This window comes from Homo sapiens, chromosome 9 (genome assembly GCF_000001405.40).
Source record: "Homo sapiens chromosome 9, GRCh38.p14 Primary Assembly".
NCBI lineage: Eukaryota > Metazoa > Chordata > Mammalia > Primates > Hominidae > Homo > Homo sapiens.
In genome coordinates, this window is record NC_000009.12 from 16,011,401 (window position 1) to 16,033,937 (window position 22,537).

Consider the following 22,537-nt stretch of genomic DNA (forward strand, 5'->3'; position numbering starts at 1 on the left):
GCTGTTTTTTACTTTTTTTTTGCAGCAAAATTCTCTTAGAGATGAAGTTTTAATAATCCATATAAACTTATTATTCACAATTTTTTTGAAAAATGACAGGCAAAATGGTCTTTTCTGTTGTTAGGAGTGACAACAGAGCCCAATTATGCAGCTTCTTTAACAATGGAGCAGAATGTGCATACTTTTTAGTGGCAGGTCCACAGCCACTGTCACCTTTTCTGTGTTAAAAATAGTGGAAATGTATCCATTCCTTTGTCTGTCCATACAGTCATTCAGCATTTTCTGAGTTCCGATTTTGCACTAGGACTGGTTTAGGGCAGGATAAAAATGCAAAATAAGATATAGACGTTGCTTTCCCAAAGCTTACAGTTAATTAGGAAACAGATAAACAGGAAATGACAATAGAATGGGAGAAGTTTGAATAAAACTTGTTTCCTTTCTCTGAGGGTTTTCCACTCCTGCTCATCAGTCAGAAGATTGTCTTGGTTCCTTATCTTCTCAAGGGTTGTGCACTTTGTCACCGATACTGGGACATCCTGGTGACTCAGAGTCTTGTCCCCAGTGGGCCAGTGTCCCTTTAGTGATGAGAGGGGAAGAGATTGTCCTTTCCTTCTCAATCACTTCATTTCTCTGATAGCATCAGATCCCCTTGTGGACTGATCTGCAAATAGGAAGTTCTCTTCTGAAGGTTAGGGTGAACATAGGAGATAAGTAAATTCTGGCTAACCAGGACTTTCCTCTGTGCTGCCCAAGGAGGGTTCTTTAAGACTGAAGGAGTGTGTCTCATGTGTGGCTCCTCCTGTCCACTTTGCTCCCATGGCCACAGCATCCATGAATGTGGCCTGTCTTTTTTTGCTCTGGAAGATATTAGGATCTCCTTATTCTTGGTGTGGAAGTTGTGTAGGGATCTATCTGGGCACGGTTCTTCTACTCCTTATGCTGGAAATCTAATGAACACATTGAACAAATACACTCATGAGCTTTCATTCTTGTATTATTTCTTTGGTTGGTCAGAGGTTGGCCCTCCTGAATTCATCATCTGGGCCTCTTACCATTTTTCTTACTGTGTCTTAAGTGTTGTTAATTAGTTGGTCAGCTTTCTGGGATATTTACTTGACTTTAATCTCCATATTTTCTATTGAATTTTTTTTTTTACTATAACCCGGATAATTTTTTTTTTCAAAGAATTCGTTATGGATTGCTGGTTGTTTTTTTTTATAATGGCAGCATGCTCTCCTTCCATGAATACAATTTTGTATCAGACTCTTGCAGAATACAAATGAGAATGATTTTAGTTCACTGAATTATCACAGTTCCTCTGAGGTCATTTGTTTGTGTTTGCTCATCTTGGTCATTCTTATTCATGTTTGAGATATTCCCCAGTGTCTGGGATTCCTTTGTTATTTGTTCATGGATGATAGGTAGCATTGCTGTGCATGGGTGGAGAGGGTGGACTGGCTGAATTTACAGGCAGAGAGCCCACCAGCATCTTGGGAACTCCTAAATGCTTAAACGTATAGGTCTCAGCCCTGGGATATCAACCATCACACCAGCTACCACAGTTTTCCTGCATGGTACTTCGACTTCTCAAGCTGAAGTCTGACACCTTCACTTTCACACAGTCTGGGGAACACCTTCACCCATCAGATCTGTCAGCCTTTCCCACTCAAAATGTCCCCAACTCTCTTCCTTCACAAACCTCTTTGCCTCCTTGGACTTCCTACATCTGATAGCTATACTGTCTTTCCAGTATTCAAAACCACAGAATAATATCTGAGTGGATCTTACTCTCCTTGTTTAGTCTGTTCCTAAGGCCTTGAGGATTCCTCCTGCCTCTGTCCACCCTCTTTCTTTCCATCACAGCCTCTCCAGTCAGGCCATCATTATTTATTCCCTGGAAAAAATCCAAGTTTCTCTCTAGCTTTCTGCCTCTCATCTCTCTTATAGTTAGCTGTCAGATTAATATTCCCAGGTGTAGTTCTCTTTATATCATTGTGCTGCTCAAAATTCTTTCCTGGATCTCTTCTATTTACTCACTAAGGCCTACCTTTGCAATCTGACGTTCAAAGGTTCAACCCACTTCTCTTCCCACCTTCCTATGGGAGGCAGGAGCATGTAGCATGCGCTCTTGGGACATACAGGCACAGCCAGATGCAGGCTCCAATGCCTACGGGGCAAATTATTTGCCCTCTCTGACCCGTACCTACCTTTCTCATCTCTAACTTTAAGATAAAAAAAGCACAGGTATGCCTCGGAGATATTGTGGGTTCAGTTTTGGGCCACCAGACTAAAGTGAATACCACAATAAAGTGAGTCACAGATAATTTTTAATTTCCCAGTGCATATAAAAGCTATGTTTACACTATACTGTAATCTATTAAGTACACTATATTGTAGTCTGTTAAGACATTATGTCTTTAAAAATGCAGATACTTTAATTAAAAATATTTTCTTGTAAAACAAATACTAACAATCATCTGAGCCTTCAGCTTGTAATCTTTTCACTGGTGGAAGATCTTGTCTTGATGTTGATGGCTGCTGACTGATCATGATGGTGATTACTGAAGGCTGGGGTGGCTGTGACTATTTCTGAAAATAAGACAACGAGGTTTGCCACAATGGTTGACTTGTGCTTTCACAAAAGGTTTCTCTGCAGCATGTGATTCTGTGTGATAGCATTTTACACATAGTGGAACTTCTTTTAAAATGTGTCAGTCCTCTCAACCCTTGCCACTGCTTTAGCAAATTAAGTTTATGCAATATTCTAAATCTTTTGTTTCATTTCAGCAACATTCACAGCATCTTCACCAGGAGTAGATTCTATTTCAAGAAACCATTCTTCGCTCATCCATAAGAAGCAACTCCTTATTCATTCAAGTTTTCTCATGAGATTGCAGAAATTCAGTCACATCTTCAGGTTCCGTTTCTAATTTTAGTTCTTTTGCTATTTCCACCATCTTGGCAGTGACTTCCTCAGTTGAAGTCTTGAACCCCTCAAAGTCATGCATGAATATTGGAATCAGTTTCTTCCAAATTCCTGTTAATGTTGATATTTTGACCTCCACCCATGAATTACTAATGTTCTTAATGACATCTACAATGGTGAATCCTTTCCAGGATGTTTTCCATTTACTTTGCCCAGATCCATCAGGGGAATCACCATCTATGGCAGCTATAGCCTTATGAAATGTATTTCTTAAATAATAAGACTAGAAAGTCAAAAGTACTCCTAATCCATGGGCTGCAGAATGGACATTGTGTTTGCAGGCATAATAACAATATCCATCTCCTTGTATATCTCCATCAGAGATCTAGGGTGACTAGGTGCATTGTCAATAAATAGTAATATTTTGAAAGAAATCTCATTTCTTGAGCAATAGTTATCAACAATAGGCTTAAATATTCGGTAAACCATGCTATAAACAGGCTTTGTTATTCCATTTATAGAGCTCAGGCAGAGTAGATTTAGCATAATTCTTAAGGGCCCTAGGATTTCAGAATGGTAAATGAGTATTGGCTTCAAGTTAAAGTCACCAGCTCCATTAGCCGCTAACAAGAGTGTCAGCCTGCCCTTTGAAGCCTTGAACTCTTCCAATATAAGACTGTTTCGTCTACATTAAAAATCTGTTGGTGTGCTGCACACCAACATGGCACATGTATACATATGTAACTAACCTACATGTTGTGCACATGTACCCTAAAACTTAAAGTCTAATAAAAAAAAATCTGTTGTGTAGTATAGCCATGTTCATCAGTGATTTTAGCTAGATCCTCTGGATAACTTGCTGCAGCTTCTACGTCGGCATTTGGTGTTTCACCTTACACTTCTATGTAATGGAGATGGCTTCTTAAACCTCATGAACCAGTCTTTTGCTAGCCTCAAATCTTTCTTCTGCAACTTCCTCACCTTCTCAGCCTTCATAGAATTGAAGTGAGTTAGTGCCTTGCTCTGGATTAGCCTTTGGCTTAAGAGACTGTTGTGGCTGGTTTAGTCTTCTATGCAGACCACTAAAATTAATGATCATAAAGGGTTGTATTTATAAAGACTACTACTGTTATTATTGTTATTGTTCTTGTCATGCGTCCAGTATCTTTCAGCCAAGGTGGTCTCCTCTGTATTTTCTGACTACAGCCTATAATTTCCCACCTCTGTACTCTGTCTCAAGTGCCCTTCCTCCTCACTGTACACTGTCAAATTTTTTAAATACTTTTAAAATTGTGATAATATATACATAACACAAAATTGACCATTTTAACCATTTTAAGTGTAAAGTTCATTGGCATTGAGAGCATTCGTATTGTTATGTAACCACTATCCATGTCTAAAACTTTTCCATCTTCCCAACTGAAACTCTGTACCTATTAAACACTAACTCCTCCCTCTTCTCATCTCTTACAACCACGATTCTACTTTCTGTCTATGAATTTTACTATTCTAAGTATTCCAAATAAGTTGACTCCTACAGTGTTTATTCTTTTATGTCTGGCTTATTTCACTTAGCGTAATGTTTTCAAGGTTCATTCGTGTTGTAGCGTGTATCCAAATTTCATTTATTTTTAAGGCTGAATAATATCCCATTGTACGTACATAACACATTTTCTTTATCCATTCATTTGTTGATGGACATTTAAGTTGCTTCCACCTTTGGCTATTGTGAATAGTGCTGCTATAAACATGAATGTACACATCTGTGTCCCTGCTTTCATTTCTTTGGGGTATATACCCGGAAGTAGAAATGCTGGATCATATGGTAGTTCTGTGTTTAGCTTTTTGAGGAACTGCCATACTGTTTTCCACAGCGGCAGTATATCCTGTCAAATTTTAAGTGTCAAGGTCCAGCTCCATTACTACCTCCTCCAAGACATTTTTCAAATCCCCTTCTAGATAGAAGAGACTTCTATCTGGAAGGGTTGTGGTGATTTACTTGCAGATTGCCTTCCCTCAGCCTCTTTTAGAAGAGTCTTCTTGATTTCCCACATAGCTTCGCTCAGAGGCAGGTGCCCAATATATATTTAGTGAATGAATGAAAGAAAGAAAGAATAAATGCATGAATCAAGCAATGGCCAGAGCTGCTGACAACTCACAGGGGAGAGTGCAGGGGATTAGTGAAAACTCCCCACCTGAGAAGATGTCAACTCCCGAAATGCTTTGGTACACGGATGAGGTCGGTGAGCCACTTCTGCATTCTCTTCACAAATCCAGCGTAGTGTTACTTCCTTGGCTCACTCTCCTTCATTACATTAAGAAGCAGCATGTGTTGCTGGTGTCTGTTGGATTTCCCTAATACGAAAAACAGGTTGCCACTTGGGTCTGCAGAGACATTTGGATGCATTGTATTTAAATTTTGTTTTCATTGAAAATTTATAGCTGCCACCTTCTACTCTAATGTAATGAATAATTAGAAGCAATTACAAGGACATTTAGCAAATTACTAAGCCATCTAGGAGTAAAAATTAGTGTTTATGGTGTTCTTCCTTTACTGCCTAGCAATCTAAAATGATATATGATATGCATGCAGACAGCATGCACAAATACTTTTCTATGCACCCAGCAGTTTTCCAGTAAGATCGTAAAAATCAGTGCATGGCATTAGAGTCTTGTGATGTTAAAGGGCCTTCTCAATAAATATTGGATGTTGGGGCAGGGAATGATGAACTTGAGCAGTAAAAACTTAACCACAAAAGGTTATTGGTGGTGGAGTAGATTATGTTCTTTTTTAAAGTTAATTTTTCTATTGTATATTTTAATTTTAAAAATTAAGGAGGAAACCAGAAAAGTGAAATAAATAAAAATGCTGTCTATACCCTTTATCCAGAAAATACTATTTTCCCATTTTTATTGGTATATTGACATTATTTTCTTTGCATGTTTACATGTATTGTCATTATTTTTTTCAAACTGCACAAAAAAATACCATTTTGATTTAAAAACTCAGTAGAATCATGTAAACATGCCTCTGTTACTATGGCCAGTCACATAGACAACGCATAATTATTTTACATTCCTTATGCTTGTAGTTTTAGCTTGTTTCCAATTTTTAATTATTATAAATAATACTATAGTGAACCTCATAGTCCATACAACTTTTAAAATATATTTTAAAGCTAGAATTCTAAGAAGAAGGATTTTTACGTTAAAGAAAATAAACTTTCAAAGTTCTTAATTCTTATTACCTCATCACTTACCAAAAAGCTTATACTTAATTTGTTTTTCAACTTGCAGTGTAGAGAATACTTGTTTTACTGCAACTGCACAAGTATTAATAATATCATTAAAGCATTTTGTTAGTTTATGAGACAATTTTAATATTTTTGATTATAACTGACCTTGGGTGAACTTGAAATCAGTCAGGTTCAGTAGCAAGAAATAGAATTCACCTAGCTTACAAATATTTATTTCATAACATGCGTTGCACAAGAAAGAGGCCTAGGTTGAGCTTTGAGATATAACTTTAAGAGCAGCACCGCAGCACTGGGTCACAGAGAGAACTGCTCCTGCCTCATGAAGCCATCACAATGGAGAAGCTACTATAGGAGAACCAAACAATACTGCAGCAATTGCTGGTGGAAATGACAGAAGCAGCACAAAACATGCCCTTATCTCATTTCTGCATTCCAAATTAAATAACATCCAGAATCATAGCTGCAAGGGAGTCCAATAAATGTAGTTTTAAGATTTTTTTAGCTTCTACAGTGCAGGAAGACCCCTGAGAAGGCAGGTAGAATAGATGTTAGGTGCTAATCTCCCATATCCACCCATGTGTTTGTGATGCTTGTTAGCCTATTAGATGAATTGTCAATTTTTAACCCTTTCTGAGCTAACTTGTAAAAGAAGCTACCAGAGGCCAGAAAGATATATTATTTCTAAGAAGCATATAGCATTATCCTTAGCAAAACTGGAGACCCGGTGAAAGTGAGAAAGGGCAGGAGATGATTCCATATACTCCCACATTGCAGGGGGTTCCAAAGATCTCAGGTAAGTTTATTTGTATATATGTCAATATATAAGCATTAAAAAGAAATATTTTTTTGTTGTGTTTAATACAGCAGCATGCTAATTCAAATATTATTATTTTTCCCTTCCTGATAAAAATTGGACCTTATTCATTTATTAACTTCTTAAATAACTCGTTTCTTCATTGAATGAATTATGATCATTTAAACATAATCAGTAATAAATCAAAGAATCTTTCGTTACCCCTCACTCACCTACTAGGGCCGCTGTGTTGTATAATTCCAGGGTTCACTGATTACGTAGAATATAACATGAATGGCACCCAGTGGAGCTGTGCTCCAACACAGTGGCCCTGTCAATTCCCTTAATTCATTGGATAACTGAGTCTACTTTTTTTGTTAGACTAATTTTAAGAAAGTTGCTGATACCCAAGGGAGCTACAAAAGGTTATGGGGAACCGGGCCCTTAAAAAACCTAGGAGGGCCTTTTTTCAGAGATGATGTGAGCTCAGAAGCCATCAGTCAGGCCCACCAACATCCTTCTCCAAGGAAATCCCTTTGTATTCATGCCTTTTTGCCATTTGACTTAGCAACCAAGATTGAACAATTTTTCCTATGGATGATACAGCTTTTACTTTGAGGGCTGTTTGGAAGACTAAATCTAAAGAAGTAGTGGATTCATTTAAGAAAACAGGAACAAATCTGTTGCAAAGGCAAAACATTAACAGTTCCTTTCAAAGTCCCTCTTTAAAGCCTTTGATTGGGAGTTGACTCTTAACCCATGACTTTTATGAAATTGTCAATGGAATTGCACTAGGGGAAGATTTCTGAACCCTGACCTCTTCTCTCCAGCTACTCCTGTCTAAGAACCAAAGGCAGGTCCCTGGAAAAAATATCCTTCAGATGCTGCTGAGAAGCCAAGTTCCGCTAGGTTTATGAGTGGTGGGGATGAATCTGAGTGAGTTGATGGCTCCCATCAAGTCCTGGTAAAAGTAAATTGTATGACCTCTGTTAGTGGATAGATGAGGGGCCATCTCAAGTAGAGACTAATTCCCTGTAGATGAGATTTTAAATTCTGTTGTTAGGAAGATAGAAGGCTACCAGACTTTGGATGTTTATAAAAACCATTGTTTCTTGTTTTCCCATAGGCAAGGGCAAGAGTTGAGCTGTGAGGGGAATCTGGGTTTAGATAAGGGGTGGTGGGGGTGAAAGAGATTGAGAGGGAGAGACAGAGAGAAACAGAAAGACATGGTTAGAGAAATCTCACCTTTTTTGGAAAGGCTACAGTCTACAATTACCATATTTTCTAGATTTTCTAGGACTATCTGCATTTTAAATATTTACTTTCATTATCCCCATGAAACATCAAAATATTCTGGAAATGTAAATATTTTGACAAATGGTAACTGAATCAGGTCATTAATCATTACAAGTGTGTGAATTCATTCTCTTGGTTCTGAGCATGATTTCAAGGGTATCAAAGGGAAAGTTGATGTCACTGATTAGTGACTTCTGGGCAGCAGGGAAGTTATCAATAGGCTCTGGCACTGAAAATTCTCTTTTAAAATGCGAATCAATATTCAGAGGCTTGTCAAGAGATGTTTGGGGAAAGAAACAGAAAATATAATAGTTCCCCTTTATCTGCAAGGGGTATGTTCCAAGAACCCCAGTGGAAGCTTAAAACCTTGAGTAGTACTGACCTCTCTACTGGCTGAGCATCCTTAATCTGCAAATTTAAAATCCAAAAGCTCCATAATCCAAAACTCTCTTGAGCATCGACATGATGCCATAAATGGAAAATTCCATACATAACACCGAACACAAATTTTGTTTCATGCACAAAATTATTAAAAATATTATACAAATTACTTTCAGGCTATGTGTATAATGTATGTATGCAACACTAACGAATTTCATGTTTATACTTGGGTCCTATCCCCAAGATATCTCATTATATATATGCAAATATTCCAAAATCCAAAAAAATAAAAAATTTGAAACACTTCTGGTTCCAGGCATTTCCAATAAGGGATATTCAAACCATATATGCTATGCATGAATTTCTTTTTCCTTCTTTACAATTTCATGAAGAAATTGTAGAAGATTTGTTTTTACTGCAGATCTTAGCAAGTACAGCATATGATTTTTTTCTTTCCTTATTAAGTGGAAAGCATCCACTTTTTCACTTAAAGAAAACATTTTGTGACTTCTCCTTTACATATCCAAATTGCCAGCAGCACTACGTTTGCACTTTGGAGCTATGATTGAGTAAAATAAAAGTTACTTGAACACAAGTACTGTGACATGGCAACCAAGATGGCTACTGAGTGACACACAGGCAGGGAGCTTACACACCGTGGATACCTGGACGAAGGGAGGATTCAGGTCCCAGGTGGGATGGTGCCGGATAGTGTGACATTTCATCATGTGCCTCCGAATGGTGAGAATTTTAAAACTTATCAATTGTTTATTTCTGAAAATTTCCATGTAATATTTTTGGACTGTGGATGACCACCAGTAATTGAAACCTCAGAAAGCAAAATCTCTGCTAAGAGGAGGCTACTGGAAATAATTACTGAACAAATGAAGTTCTTCTCACAAGCTTAAGTAGGAAGATACACTAGCAGTTTTACTCACTGATGAATAGCAAAGACAAACGCAAGTATTGCACTAATTGTTATATGCTTTTTGCTATATTTTAATTTTTCATTAGAATTTTCCACTTTCAATAAGACAATTTTTGTTTTCTTTAGACGGAGTTTCACTCTTGTCACCCAGGCTGGAGTGCAATGGCGTGATCTCGGCGCACTGCAACCTCCGCCTCCGGGGTTCAGGTGACTCTCCTGCCTCAGCCTCCCGAGTAGCTGGGATTACAGGCACGTGTCACCACACCCAGCTAGTTTTTGTATTTTTAGTAGAGACAGGGTTTCACGATGTTGGCCAGGATGGTCTCAATCTCTTGACCTCGTGATCCACCTACCTTGGCCTCCCAAAGTGCTGGGATTACAGGTGTGAGCCACCATGCCTGGCCTCAATAAGACAATTACTTAAATTTATAACTATGATTTCACTGTCATATTCCTCTAAGATTTTTTACATAAATAAGTTCAGGAATCAGAGAATGTTGTCAAGTGAGGAAGGCAAGGTAACTAAAGGCAGGGATTTGGGAGCTGGCTGAGGAATCAAAACCAGTTTCTGCGACTTGCTAGATTTGCAATAAATTGCTTAATCTCTCTAAGATTCAAGTCTCTTACTTGAAAAATGGAGGAAATAAATGTCTCATAAATTTGTAGTGGTTGAGGATTAAATGAACTAATGTTTGAAAAGTGTTTGACCCCAGAGTGGGTATTCAATAAATGATAGCTGTTATGAAAAGTACTAATAATGAAATAATGTGAGCAAAAGTCTTAGAGTGAATTCAAGATTTGCGATGTCCCCCTATCTCTGTACTATGTGGCTAGCTATGTTCTAGATGGTGCAGGATCTGTTAGCCTGAACCTCTGAGTGAGGCCCATGCAGAATCCCCTGCTGATGAGTGATGAGCATGTGGAATGAGGTAGAAATGTACTTTTGCCTTTTTAAACCACTGTAACGCAGGGGTTGTTTGTTACTGCAGCCTAAGCAGCCTCTCCTGATGGATGCAGGAGGGAACATAGATGCTTCCACTGCTACCATATCTAGGACCCAGGGAGAGAGATGATTTGGACAGTTTACAGAACAAGGGACAAGTAGGCATATGAGTGGTGGACACAGTGGCCATGATTGGCAGGAGGTGATGGCTACTCCAGCAGTGAGCAGTATTGTAGAATAGGCATGGAACCCCATATCCTAACCGACATTGAATCAAGAAAAATAGTACTCATTTGGAATGGTCTTGAACGTACTGGTTCAGTTCCAGGAAAGTCTCAAGGGAGGTTAAAGAGATTTGAAGACCTGTATGTTTTTATAGGCACTGTCTTCTTTCCTTCACAAAACAGGATGGTATTATCATGCTAATGTCTGCAGAGAAGGAAGCACAGATTAGGTGACTGTGGCTACTATGAGGGCCAAGGAGGCCCTCCCACCCATCCTGTGGGATGCACCACCTGCGCTCACTAGGCCTATGGAGAGGGGAGTGACTGGGGCACCTGCTCACCCCTGTACCATGCCTGTTCTTCAGCTTCAGCTCTGGATCGCCCAGAGAGGGACTGCTGCCTGCATCTGGGTTCCTGGACAAACATGCAGTCTACCAGTAAGTGCTTTTAAATCCCCAAGAATGTAATTGCTTTATATTCCCTCTAAGTGGGCACACCCCATTAACACACCTGAAATTGAGACCTTTTCCAAATAGAAAAGCATAAACTTTGTGGTAAAGCTTCTTCAGGCCCTTTATCTCCCTGTCCAGGCCAGCGTGTTCTCCAAAAAGAGGAAAATGAGTGTTCTGCTCCCAAGAGATCACGGAGTCCACCTGAGTCCCACCAGCCGAGTCATTTGTCTGCTCCTGTAGCATTTACCTTTATAGTGCAAAACCTCAGGGTGCTGGCATTTCAGCCACATCCAGGAGGTTGATGCATGGTAAGCAACCTTTCATATGTTGAATTACCAGTGCCCTGGTCAAACCCTGGACAGAGCATCATCATCTAAATAGTTCACATCCTGATTCAGTGTTTCCCAAGCACTATGCCACAGAACCCAAGTTCTGGAAGACATAGATGCCGGGATACTAAGGGGTTCTCAGGTCAAAGCATTTGGGGGTTCATTGTATTCTTTTTTTTTTTTAAATGGAGTCTCACTCTGTCGCCCAGGCTGGAGTGCAGTGGCGCGATCGGGTTCATTGTATTCTGTTTTCCCTTCCCAGCAATTTGAACTGCTTATTAACATATTACAGTTCTAACAGGTCCCCACATAAAACGTAATCTCTGTGACTCAAATAGATTGATTTATTTATGTTTCTGAAATTTATCTGACTTTGACTATGAGCCATGTTTAGTATAGCAAAATGATTAACATCTTAAGGAATAAAGAATTTTTCTCAAATTTATTTTTCTGTATTTCTTCTCAAATTTATTTGAATTTGGCCATGAGTCATGTTAGTAGAGCAAAATGATTAACATCTCAAGAAATAATGAACATTGCCGCACTGACTTAAGAATCACCACCCTGATTTATTCCTATAGCTTGAGGCAGCACCACCTCTTGCCCTGTCCAGAGGAATAACTTAGGTTGGAGATGGACCATATTCAGTCCAGCCAAGATGTTTGCATGAAGTCCCTGAAGGACTCAGCCCTTTCCAACTGGGAGACTTCCAGAATAAACAAAGATGTTCATGAATTGGTGGGTTCATTGGGCATTACTAATTGCTTATTCAACTTTTTTTTTGCTTTTTTTCTCTGAATGTTTCAGTATTTGATCATCTCAAGATCAGTAAGGAATTCAACTGGTCACTGTCACAGCTGAGGTTTTCTGGTGTTCAAATATGTCTATTTCAGACAGAATAATGCCACCCTCCCCCCACCCCCACAAAGATATCCACTCCCTGGATCCATGTTACCTTACATGGCAAAAGGAACTTTCTGGTTAAATTAAGAATCTTGACATGGGGAGATTATCCTGGAATATGTGTGTGGCTCTAATGTAATCCCAGGGTGTTTATAAGAGGAAAATAAGAAGGTCCATGAGAGAAAAAGTTGTGATGAGGGAAGCAGAGGTCAGCGTAATGCACTTTGAAGATGGAGGAAGGGGCCATGAGCCAAAGAATGCAAGCTTAAAGAGGCAAGGAAATAGAGTCTCACCTAGATCCTCCCAAAGGAATGCAGCTCTGTCTACACCTTGATTTTAGCCTTATAAGACTTATTTTGGACTTCTGACCTCCAGAACTTTAAGATAATAAATTTACGTTGTTTTAAATTTACCATAGTAAACTTACAGTAATTTGTTACAATAAAAATAGGAAACTAATACAATACCTTAATCCTATCCTACCTCAAACTGGACCAGGCCCATATAATCAAACTTAGAGCATCCACTCTAAAGGGAGATTACTCTAATTTAGAAGGAGCCAACTCCCAACATCTCCTCCTTTCTATCCACTTCCAGAAGCTGGGCCCCCTATGAGAGCAGCTACTCCATACGGAAATGAATTATTGGTTGTTACCATGGCTTCCTCAGGCATAGAAGAACCCCTCATAGGCATGCTCAGACCACCAGAAGCCAGAGCAGATGAGGCAGACCTAGCAACGCAGGTTCAGAAGAGGAACTGTGTGCTACTTTCTTGGACAGGTTTGATTTTACCTTCTGCTGCATGCAGCCAGCAACCCAAGCAATTCCCTTTATTCTGGAAACCAGAGCACATATCAAGAGGTGGCATCATTTCAGGAATAGGAAAGTCATGTGACCAAAGGAAGTTGTAGCCATGCATCATGGATACAATAAACAGAAACAATATGGAAGAACATGTATGCAGAGGGGATACCTACATATACGGCACCCGAAATTTAGGGCCACTCAGAGATAGTATCCTGGGAAGCCCAGCCTGTATGCTGAGAACCTGCTATTTGGATAACCAATCATCTCAGATGCCTGGGACTGAGGCAGTTCCCAGACATGGAACTTTCCATTCCCAGACATGGGACTTTCCATTTTAAAACCAAGACAGTCCTTTCATACCTTGCTGGTGGGAATGTAAACTGGTACAGCCACTTTGGAAAACAGTTTGACAGTTCCTCAGTAAGTTAAACGTAGAATAACCATATGACCCAGCAACTTCATTCCTAAGGGTATGCCCCAAATAACTGAAAATATATGTCCACATAAAAACTTGAACAGGGGCTGGGCATGGTGGCTCACACCTGTAATCTCAGCACTTTGGGAGGCCAAGGCAGGTGGATCTCCGGAGGTCAGGAGTTCAAAACCAGCCTGGCCAACATGGTAAAATGCTGTCTCTACTAAAAATACAAAAATTAGCCTGATGTGGTCATGTGCGCCTGTAATCCCAGCTACTCGGGAGGCTGAGGCAGGAGAATTGCTTGAAACCAGTAGGGATCCCAGGAGGTAGAGCTTGCAGTGAGCTGAGATTGCGCCACGGCACTGCAGCCTAGCCTGGGTGACAGAGTGAGGCTTCCTCTCAAAAACAAACAAACAAACAAAAAAACTTGGACAGGGATATTGATAGTGGCACTATTCACAGTGGCCAAAAGGAAAAAGCAACTCAAGTGTCCATCAACCGATGAATAAACAAAATGTACTTTAGCCATACAGTGGAATATGATTCAGCCATTAAAAGTAATGAAGCACTGAAACATGCAATAACATAGATGAACCTTGGAAACACTAAGCTAAGTGAAAAAAACTAGTCACAAAAGCCCATTTACTGTATAATTCCATTTATCTGAAATGTCCAGAAGTGGGAAAATGTATAAAGACAGAAAGCAGATCAGTGGTTGCTGAGATCTTAGGGAAGGGGAAATAGGGAATGACTGCCAATGGGTGTGGGGTCTCCTTTGGGAGTGATGAAATGTTCTGGAACTAGATAATAACAGTGGTTGCACAACATGAATGCACTAAAAGCCACTAATTGCGCATGCTGAAATAGTGAATTTTGTGTTATGTGAATTTTACTATAATTAAACAATTTTTTAAAAAACAAGACAGTCCCAGGCAAAGTGGGATGAGTTGGTCACCCTACGGCTAGCATCCACACTGGTAAGGAAACCAGGCTCAACTGTATGGTAAGGGAAGATCACGATACTCAGAGATACCATGTCACGCTCCATGTTTTGCTGGAGAGGACCTGGGTCAGAGGAGTGGGTGTCGTAACCCATCTCACCCCTCACAGAGGAACCTAAAGGTTGTGGAGTCCTCTGCTTGGTAAAGCTGGGGTCACCCTAACCCTGCCACACCAGAGCCAGGGTCTCAACAGATACACGTGGTGTTGGATAGACAGGGAGATTCAACCAGTCATTACCTATTCCTCAAACACTTGTGCTCATTTGATCACCTCTAATAAAGGTTCTCTGGCTGTGAATCCAGACTACCCCTCCCTGGAGTCCCTGGATTTGGGGTGGGAGATTCACAAGAAGTTGCTACAGGCATCTGGAATCCAGTCAGTGTGTTTTCAAGCCACCTCAAGGGCCCTTGCTCCTTTGTTGCCCTGCGTCTCCACCCCTTTGACCCCTTTATCCAGTGGGTAATCATTTAACCTATTCTTGGACCTTGATCCTCAATACGGAACTTGTGAATTTTGCTCATCAGTTGATAATGGGAGAAATATTCGCTTCTGTCCAGTCCTGGGCTCCCACAGGGCTGAGTAAGGACATTTCTCTGCCCCAACTTCCAGAGGCAGGAGATTAGACAGGGATGACAGTTAAGGGGTTACTGGTAATAGGAAAATCATTAAAACTGGAGATATAACTAGGTAAAAAAGAAAAAGCTAGAAATGTGGTTTCACTGGATAAAAAGCAATAATAAAGCATTCACAAAAATGTTTATCATCTATATTTAATTGCTCTGTAGCATAACACAATTATGTGTATTGGTAAATATGTATTATATTAATATATTGTCACTTTAGATTTCCCCAGTTAACCCTCTGTGAGTTTACTCAGTCTTTATAATTTATTGCTCATGCAGCATGGTCATCTGTTTCCAACCTAGAAAATTAGTGGGCCTATGCCTCGGGCTTATGAGCTATCAGTTCTATGCCTTGATATTGCACTTGGTGATGCAGGGCAGAAGTAGTTTGGTGGTTTCTCAGCCCAAGGTTGAGTAAACAGATGTCCCGGAGTTGATTTTCCCCAGAATAATTGCATACAATGAGCACAAATGTTTAATTAATCAGGAATCTTGTGCTTATTATCTTTTCTCTGGGCTTCCACTGATAATGACCCAGAGGAAATTTCTTTTCCTTTGTGGGAATGATATTTTATTTAAAGGTTTTCATTTCATCATCTGATCCTCCCTCCAACCCCCTTTTCTAGTAAAAGAGAGAGAAAGAGACTGACTGACTGAATACCTGGACCACCAACAAAAGAAAGGAACACCCAAGCTTATGACTGCAGAGAGGCACTGATACAGCTGGGTGGAGGGCGTCTCCACCACTCAAGTCAGTCTCAAAACTATGCTGACTCAGAATAATTTAATATTTTATATTCACCTGATGCAAACTTTTCTCCCCAAAATCAAAGTTGCGAGGAAGGAAAGAGAGTTAAGCAAATGTTTAACATACAATCAAATGGAAAGGCGCTTGTGTATGAAGTCAGGTTTGAGTTTTCAGGACTGAGTATTGCAGTCCAGGCTGATTCCCTAATGAAGGGCCCACTCGCCAAGCCTGGTGCACGGCACAAAACATTAATCAGGACATTGTTTGCATTAAAGGGCTGAGTTTTTCAGTGGGTAATCATCAGGGAAACCCAGTCAAGGGCGAACAGGGACGGCAGCCCTGATTAATTAAACATCTGCACCGGGGCTAAAAGCAAGACTTACCCTGTTGGTTGTATAAGAGCTGTTGATATTAATGCCACACATGGAATTGGGAAATATTGTTTGCTGAAATCATGTCTGTATGGAAAGCTCCACATTCAGAGCATATCAAGTTATATCTTCCCATATTATTTCAGCTGCTTCCTGTATCACTAGGTGTAAGGGGTTCTGGGCAGAGTAATGGTATACTTAGCTTATCCCTTCAAGGAGAAGGCAGCATTTGAACTAGCCTTGACACATAGGTTAAATTTTGTGAAGGACATTCCAGGGAGGGGGGCCAGCATAAGCAAAGGCAGGAGATATGTCTTCATGGCCATGAGTCTTGGTCTGATTGGAGCCAGGGACTGGAAAGTCAGCGGCAATTAGTGTTGCAAATGCACGTCCTGATACCAGACACTGAGGTCCAATCTGAAAGCCATGGAGCTATTGGAAGCTTCTTCCGTGGTGGATGGGTGGCATGACCACAGTGTTCCCAGAAGAATGATTTGGAGTAGTGGGGAGAATGGATGTCTGGTTAGCAGAGAGACCGACCGGGAGAGGGATCTGTTAAGATGATACTCAGCGATGTGGGTACTAAAGCAGACCAAAGTAGATCTAGTACAAAAGAGAAAGGATTTTTCACAGATAAAGTCTAGTACAAAAGGAGCTACAGTCAGGGTTACCAGATGAAATATAAGACACCCATATATGGGCACACTCATACTAAATATTATTTGTTGTTTATCTGAAATAAAAACTTACTTGTCATCCTGCACTTTTGTTAAGTCTGGCAGCTCTAGCTCCTGTCAGTTTTGTTAAATCTGGCAGCTCTAGCTCCTGGCAGCTCTAGCTCCTGGTGTGGCAGCTCTGAGAATGCACCTCTCAGATCTCCAACTGCAGGGAGAATAATTCACTGACTGAGGCCCCAGCTGCTGTATTCTGAAATTGCTGCATTTGTCCCAAGGCTGTGCTTCCCGTGGGCTGCTCTCAGTCAGTGACTTGGCATGGCAGGGATGCTAGGCATGGGACCTCTCTGATGGACGACTTTGGCTCTGGGACTTCCCCTAGTATTGCACTGCAGTCTAAGGCACTTCCAACCAACCTTCTTTCCTTCCTTCCTTTTCATGGAGTCAGACCTGTACTGTAGTCTGACAGCTCTCCAGCCTCTGCCGGTGCCTTTTTTTCTCTAGGGGCTTGCCCTGGTAAAAAGCCTTGAGCATAGAGCCCCCTCTTGGCCTCTTCTTCTGAAAAGACCCAGAATAATGTATCTAGTGTCCAAATGGAAGACGGCAGGCGCTGGGTCGAGAAAGTTTAAGATTTTTAGACGTGGAATAGGAAGTAGTGAGGGCTGTAAGGCAACAAGTGGTAAAAGGAGAGGAGAGAGAGGTCTTAGAAGGGGCAACATCTTCTGATTTGGGCTTGTTTTACTTAGTCCTCGATGAGTGCACACCAAAATCATGCATAATACATTTTAAAATGCCCATAATTCATGCCCACAAAAATTCTGGTTTAGGTCTTAGGTCTTAGATGATTCAGACATCTGTGATCCTGATGTTCCCTCCTGGTTGAGTAACCTCGTTTTAAAGGACTTGGGTCAGGGATGGTAAATAGATTTTGTCTCTAGAGGAACTCTGATAAATTGGTGATGCTTGGAGGGCTGTGCTGACAAAAGCTGTGTGGCCACATCTGGGCTCACGGGAAAAGATCTGGGATTGATTAGGATGGTCTGCTAAGGTTGAGGGAATAGGGGCAGTAGGAGTGCTCTGTATTTGTTAGGCCTGCCTATGTTGGTAGACTCTTAAAGCCAATATCCTATGCCTGAAAGGAGGCTATTACTGCAGTCTGGGACAGAAGCAGAAGGGCCTGAAGTATAGTTGAGGCTGTCAGGGTTAGAGAGGAAAAGATAGGGTGATAAATGTGAGATTTTTGGAGCTAGAAGGAGAAAGACTTGGGAACCAAATTGGTGAACAAAGTAAAGATGAGAAAGACTCAGATAATAGTCTGAGGTTTCAATGACTGAGGGGCTTGTATGTGTTCAACTAGCTGGACCATAGCTCCTTGCCAACTGGGACTAAGTCATAGTTTGGGCTGTTATGGCAAAATACCTTAGACAGAGTAGTTTATAAACTGGAATTTATTTCCCACAGTTCTGGAGGCTGGGAAGTCCAAGATCAAAGCTGTCAGATTTGGTGCCTGGTAAGGGGCTGTTCCTCATTGATAGCACCTTTTGTTTGTGCTCACATGGCAGAAAGGCAAGAGGGCAAGGCGGCTCTCTGGGGCCTCTTTTTTAAGGGCACTAATCCCATTCATAAGGAGAGAGCCCTCATGATCTTATCATGTCCCAAAGACCCCGCCTTTAATACCATCACCTTGGTGATTTGGTATCAACACATACATTTTGAGGCAAGGTCACAAACATTTAGACAACAGCAGACTGGTAATTTCAGTTACTCTTTATATATCTAGTAGTGGTAGCAGCAGCAGTAGTGGTCATCATCAGTCTTTTTATTTTCCCGTTCATTATACCTCTGTGTGTTTTATATGAATGGCATATTTGGATGAATAGATAAATGTACAGATTCATATTTAGTTATGTACATATTTGTTGTTTAGATATAAAAATGTGTATAGAAATTTCATCTATTTTGAAGCACTTTAAAAGATTTTAGTACATAGTCTATAGGTGTGTACTGTTCAATTTATCTTTACTAGAAAAAGAATGTGTTGATTTAAAGTGGGTTTAGATTGAGAATATGAACATTTGATATGCAAAAGTAGCAGTGTGTATGGTATGTTAAGGACAAAGGAACATCTGTCTAGTACTGCTTCTCACCAGGAGGTCCCATGCTTGGTCAGGCACACACCCACAGGGAGGAAAGAGGTGACAGAGGCTCTGGGTTTGTGACCACAGAATGCAGAGGACCTGACTCATTTCCCTTCCCGCGCTGTAGGGCATGGTTTGTGGTGGCGGCTCACCACGCTGGCCAGGAGCTTGCCTCTCCTACCATTCCCACTCCATGTGATCGCTTCCCAAGGTGCCAACTCCTGGCTTTCCATCTGGGGAACGCAGATATTTTTTTCAAGAGGGTGGAGGGAAAATCAACATGAAGATTAATGGACTTCAAAGCAGAAAGAGAATGAAAATACTGGAAACCTTTGCCTGTGATTCAGCGTTCAGGGGCACAAGAATACACTGGAGACAAAGAAGAAGAGCCAAGTCGAGTCTGGGGCCAGAGGTTTGAGTTTAAGAAATCACTTAGAGACCTCACCTTAGGCAACATGGCCATGAAATTAGTGGTTGAATGTTGCCCACTTTCTCTTCTTTCTTGAATGCTGGTTGGGGGCTTAGGTTTAAGGTGAATTTTATGTTTAGGAGCATTCATTTGAAAATAGGTTTTTCAGCCTGCATTTGTAAAAATAGCTTCTCCCAACTGGAACACCAATGCATGTTCCACATGTGTGGGCATTCTATGGGATAACATGCTACTAAGTACTACACAAAAGTAAGTTACTAATCTCATTTTAAGTAGCATAGGAAATTTTTAGTGACTAGTAAATCCAATATTTCACACCTGAAAAACTTGAAAGAATGTTCAGTAAAAATCTAACAACATGTGGTAAGTTGTATATATACCAACCAGCAGATACACTCTTCACTGTAGATGTTGGCAATAATCTAGCCACACTAGAGTCACAGTGTTTACTGTGATATGCTAAATTACCTGAATCTGTTGCACCCTAATTTCTCTCTAAAAAACCAAGTTGTTCATGGTCAGGGAGCTGCTCCCTCAATTGGATCTGTATAGGGCTTTAGGGAAATCGAATGGCCAGTTAAGCTAATCACAGGTGTGAATTCCTTATGGGCCCCCTGAGGACAGCCCAGAGAATGCATTTCCCAGCTGCAAGAGGTACACTGAATCATAATATGTAACCACTTCCTGAGGGGTCGATAGGATTCCCTGGCTGCCAAACAGGGCCATTTTTGATGAGGCTCAACTAGGGGGAACATGTTGAGATGGGGTAGCTACTGGACACCATGGTCTGTGAGCATGCCCTCCACCCCAGGGCTCTGTGGGATGTGGCAGCCCCCAGGATCCAGCTGTACAGGCAGCCCCCAGAGCAGGGCAGAGACTGAGCTTGCCCTTCCTCAGTTCCCACTGCTTGCTCTTCAGCAGGGGAGCACGGCCAGTGCTGCTCAACTCACAAAATGGTGCCAAACGGGCCCTGAGAGAAACATGTTCAAAGGCCTTTTTGTCTAGGAATGCATCCGTGCCGAGGAAGGGAATGTTATGCATGACATGCATGGATGGGCTTTCAACCCACCCAAGTCCAAACCTCATTTGCTTTCTGTGAGGGAGGAAGGTGGCAGGAGAGGAAGCCAAGTGGGTAGGATGCTGCCAACATTCAAGCGGGAAGGGCCCTGCTCTGGAATGAGCATGCTGGCAGAGGAATGCATTTTAGAAATGTTGTGGTGAATGAGACACCAAGGTTTATTTTAAAATGAAGATTTATGAAAATAACCTGACACCTGAGGGGAAAAAAAGACAAGAGTTGAAATAGACGATGGTTTGCAAGCTTGGATGATGTGGAACATAAGAGAGCAATGTGGAGGACTGGCAGGGAGGAGAAGGGTCACTGGCCATGCACGAGACGCCAAGAAGAGAGTTCAGAGAGGGCAGCAGAGGGCATAGGTGGCCAGTCTGGGATCTGGCTTCTCTCCTACTTCCACATTAGTTTCCCTGACCTGGGAATGTTTTCTCATCTGTACAGCGAAGTGGGGACCGAGACACATTGCAAAGCACAGATATCCAGGTTGGCTCCAAGGAGCAGAGAACTTTGTTTTTTAGAGACAGGGTCTTGCTCTATTGCCCAGGCTGGAGTACAGTGGCACGATCATAGCTCATAGCAGCCTCAAACTCCTGGGCTCGAGTGATCCTCCCACCTAGGCCTCCCAAAATGCTGGGATTTCAGGCATAAGCCACCATGCCTGGCCAACAGGGAACTTCTTGTAAGGATAAGGATTAGCTCCTAGAACCTGAGGAAGGGGTGAGAATCAAGGCAGCTGTAGGGATTTGGCAAAACAGGGACAAATGCACAGGCTCTCCAGGGCCTGGATTCCAGGTTTAATGAGCTCTAAAAGCCTTCTGTCTTAGTAAGCTCCTCCCCAAGATCCACATTCTTAGGAGGGCAATTCCAGCTGGTTTAGCGTGGGTCACATTCTCACCTGCTGGCCAGAGGAGGGCACCCAAACCATGAGCCAGGGAGGAGAGGTTCCTGGAAGAGGACTGAGGGAACTGGAGCTGGACAAACAGAAACACCAGTGTCCACTGTACAGGGCTAGGATAAAACCACAAGCAGGCATCATCTCAATACCACAGAGTCATGGAAGCAAGGGAAGGCTCTAGTACGTGTCTGATATTGCTGCTTTGTATGCGTTATTATAGGGGTCCCCAACCCCTGGGCCATAAACTGGTACCAGTCCGTGGCCCGTTAGGAAATGGGCTGCACAACAGGAGGTGAGTGGCAGGAGAGTGATGGACGCTTCATCTGTACTTACAGCCACTCTCCATCGCTCACATTACGGCCCGAGCTCCACCTCCTATCAGAACAGCAGCGGCATTAGATTCTCATAGGAGCGCAAGCCCTGTTGTAAACCGCGCATGCGTGGGATCTGGGTTGCGTTCCTTGCGAGAATCTAATGCTTGATGATCTGTCTCTGTCTCCCATCACCCCCAGATGGGACGGCCTAGTTGCAGGAAAACAAGCTCAGGGCTCCCACTGATTCTACATTATGGTGAGTTGTATAATTATTTCATTATATATTACAATGTAACAATAATAGAAAACCTAGCACAATAAATCTAATGCGCTTGAACCATCCCGAAACCATCCCCCTACCCCCCACCCCCTGTCTGTGGAAAAACTGTCTTACACAAAACCAGTCCCTGGTGCCGAAAAGGTTGGGGATGCTGTGTTACTGTATTAACCTCCCATAGTCTTCCTGAGAAAGAGGAAACCGAGGACAGAGAGACTCAGGAAATTGTCTAGGTTCTCCCAACATCCTATGCTAAGATCGGGTGGCAGGGCCCCAAGGGCAGGTGTGCCTCCTGGTTGTCAGTGGTGCCCACACAGGGAGCTCAAGGGAGGA

The 22,537-nt window shown here is 41.6% G+C and overlaps 1 protein-coding gene across 5 annotated transcripts in view, besides 1 other annotated feature; it reads left to right on the plus strand.

Annotated features, from left to right (window-relative positions):
• CCDC171 (coiled-coil domain containing 171) overlaps positions 1-22,537 on the plus strand; it is a 556,042-nt gene that overhangs the window by 458,516 nt on the left and 74,989 nt on the right. Inside the window, exons 26-27 of one of the 5 annotated variants that reach the window (XR_001746228.3) lie at positions 10,932-11,185; positions 11,339-11,974. The exons of 2 other annotated variants lie outside the window; for them this stretch is intronic. Coding sequence is in view for 2 of the 3 variants with exons in the window: in XM_017014432.3 (XP_016869921.1) it covers positions 6,903-7,008 (106 nt within the window). In the remaining variant the exon portion in view is untranslated. Of the gene's footprint in view, positions 1-6,902; positions 7,024-10,931; positions 11,975-22,537 lie in introns of those variants that run through there. 2 more of the 5 variants (XM_017014437.3, XM_017014432.3) reach the window with 2 other exon arrangements.
• Positions 18,676-19,875: an enhancer, noted in NCBI's record as "P300/CBP strongly-dependent group 1 enhancer chr9:16030074-16031273 (GRCh37/hg19 assembly coordinates)". NCBI's record gives its function as "activates an origin of replication core promoter dependent on BRD2, BRD4, P300/CBP, MED14 and CDK7 cofactors, with strong dependence on P300/CBP, by STARR-seq in HCT116 cells {active_cell/tissue: HCT116}" and the evidence as "EXISTENCE:reporter gene assay evidence [ECO:0000049][PMID:35650434]".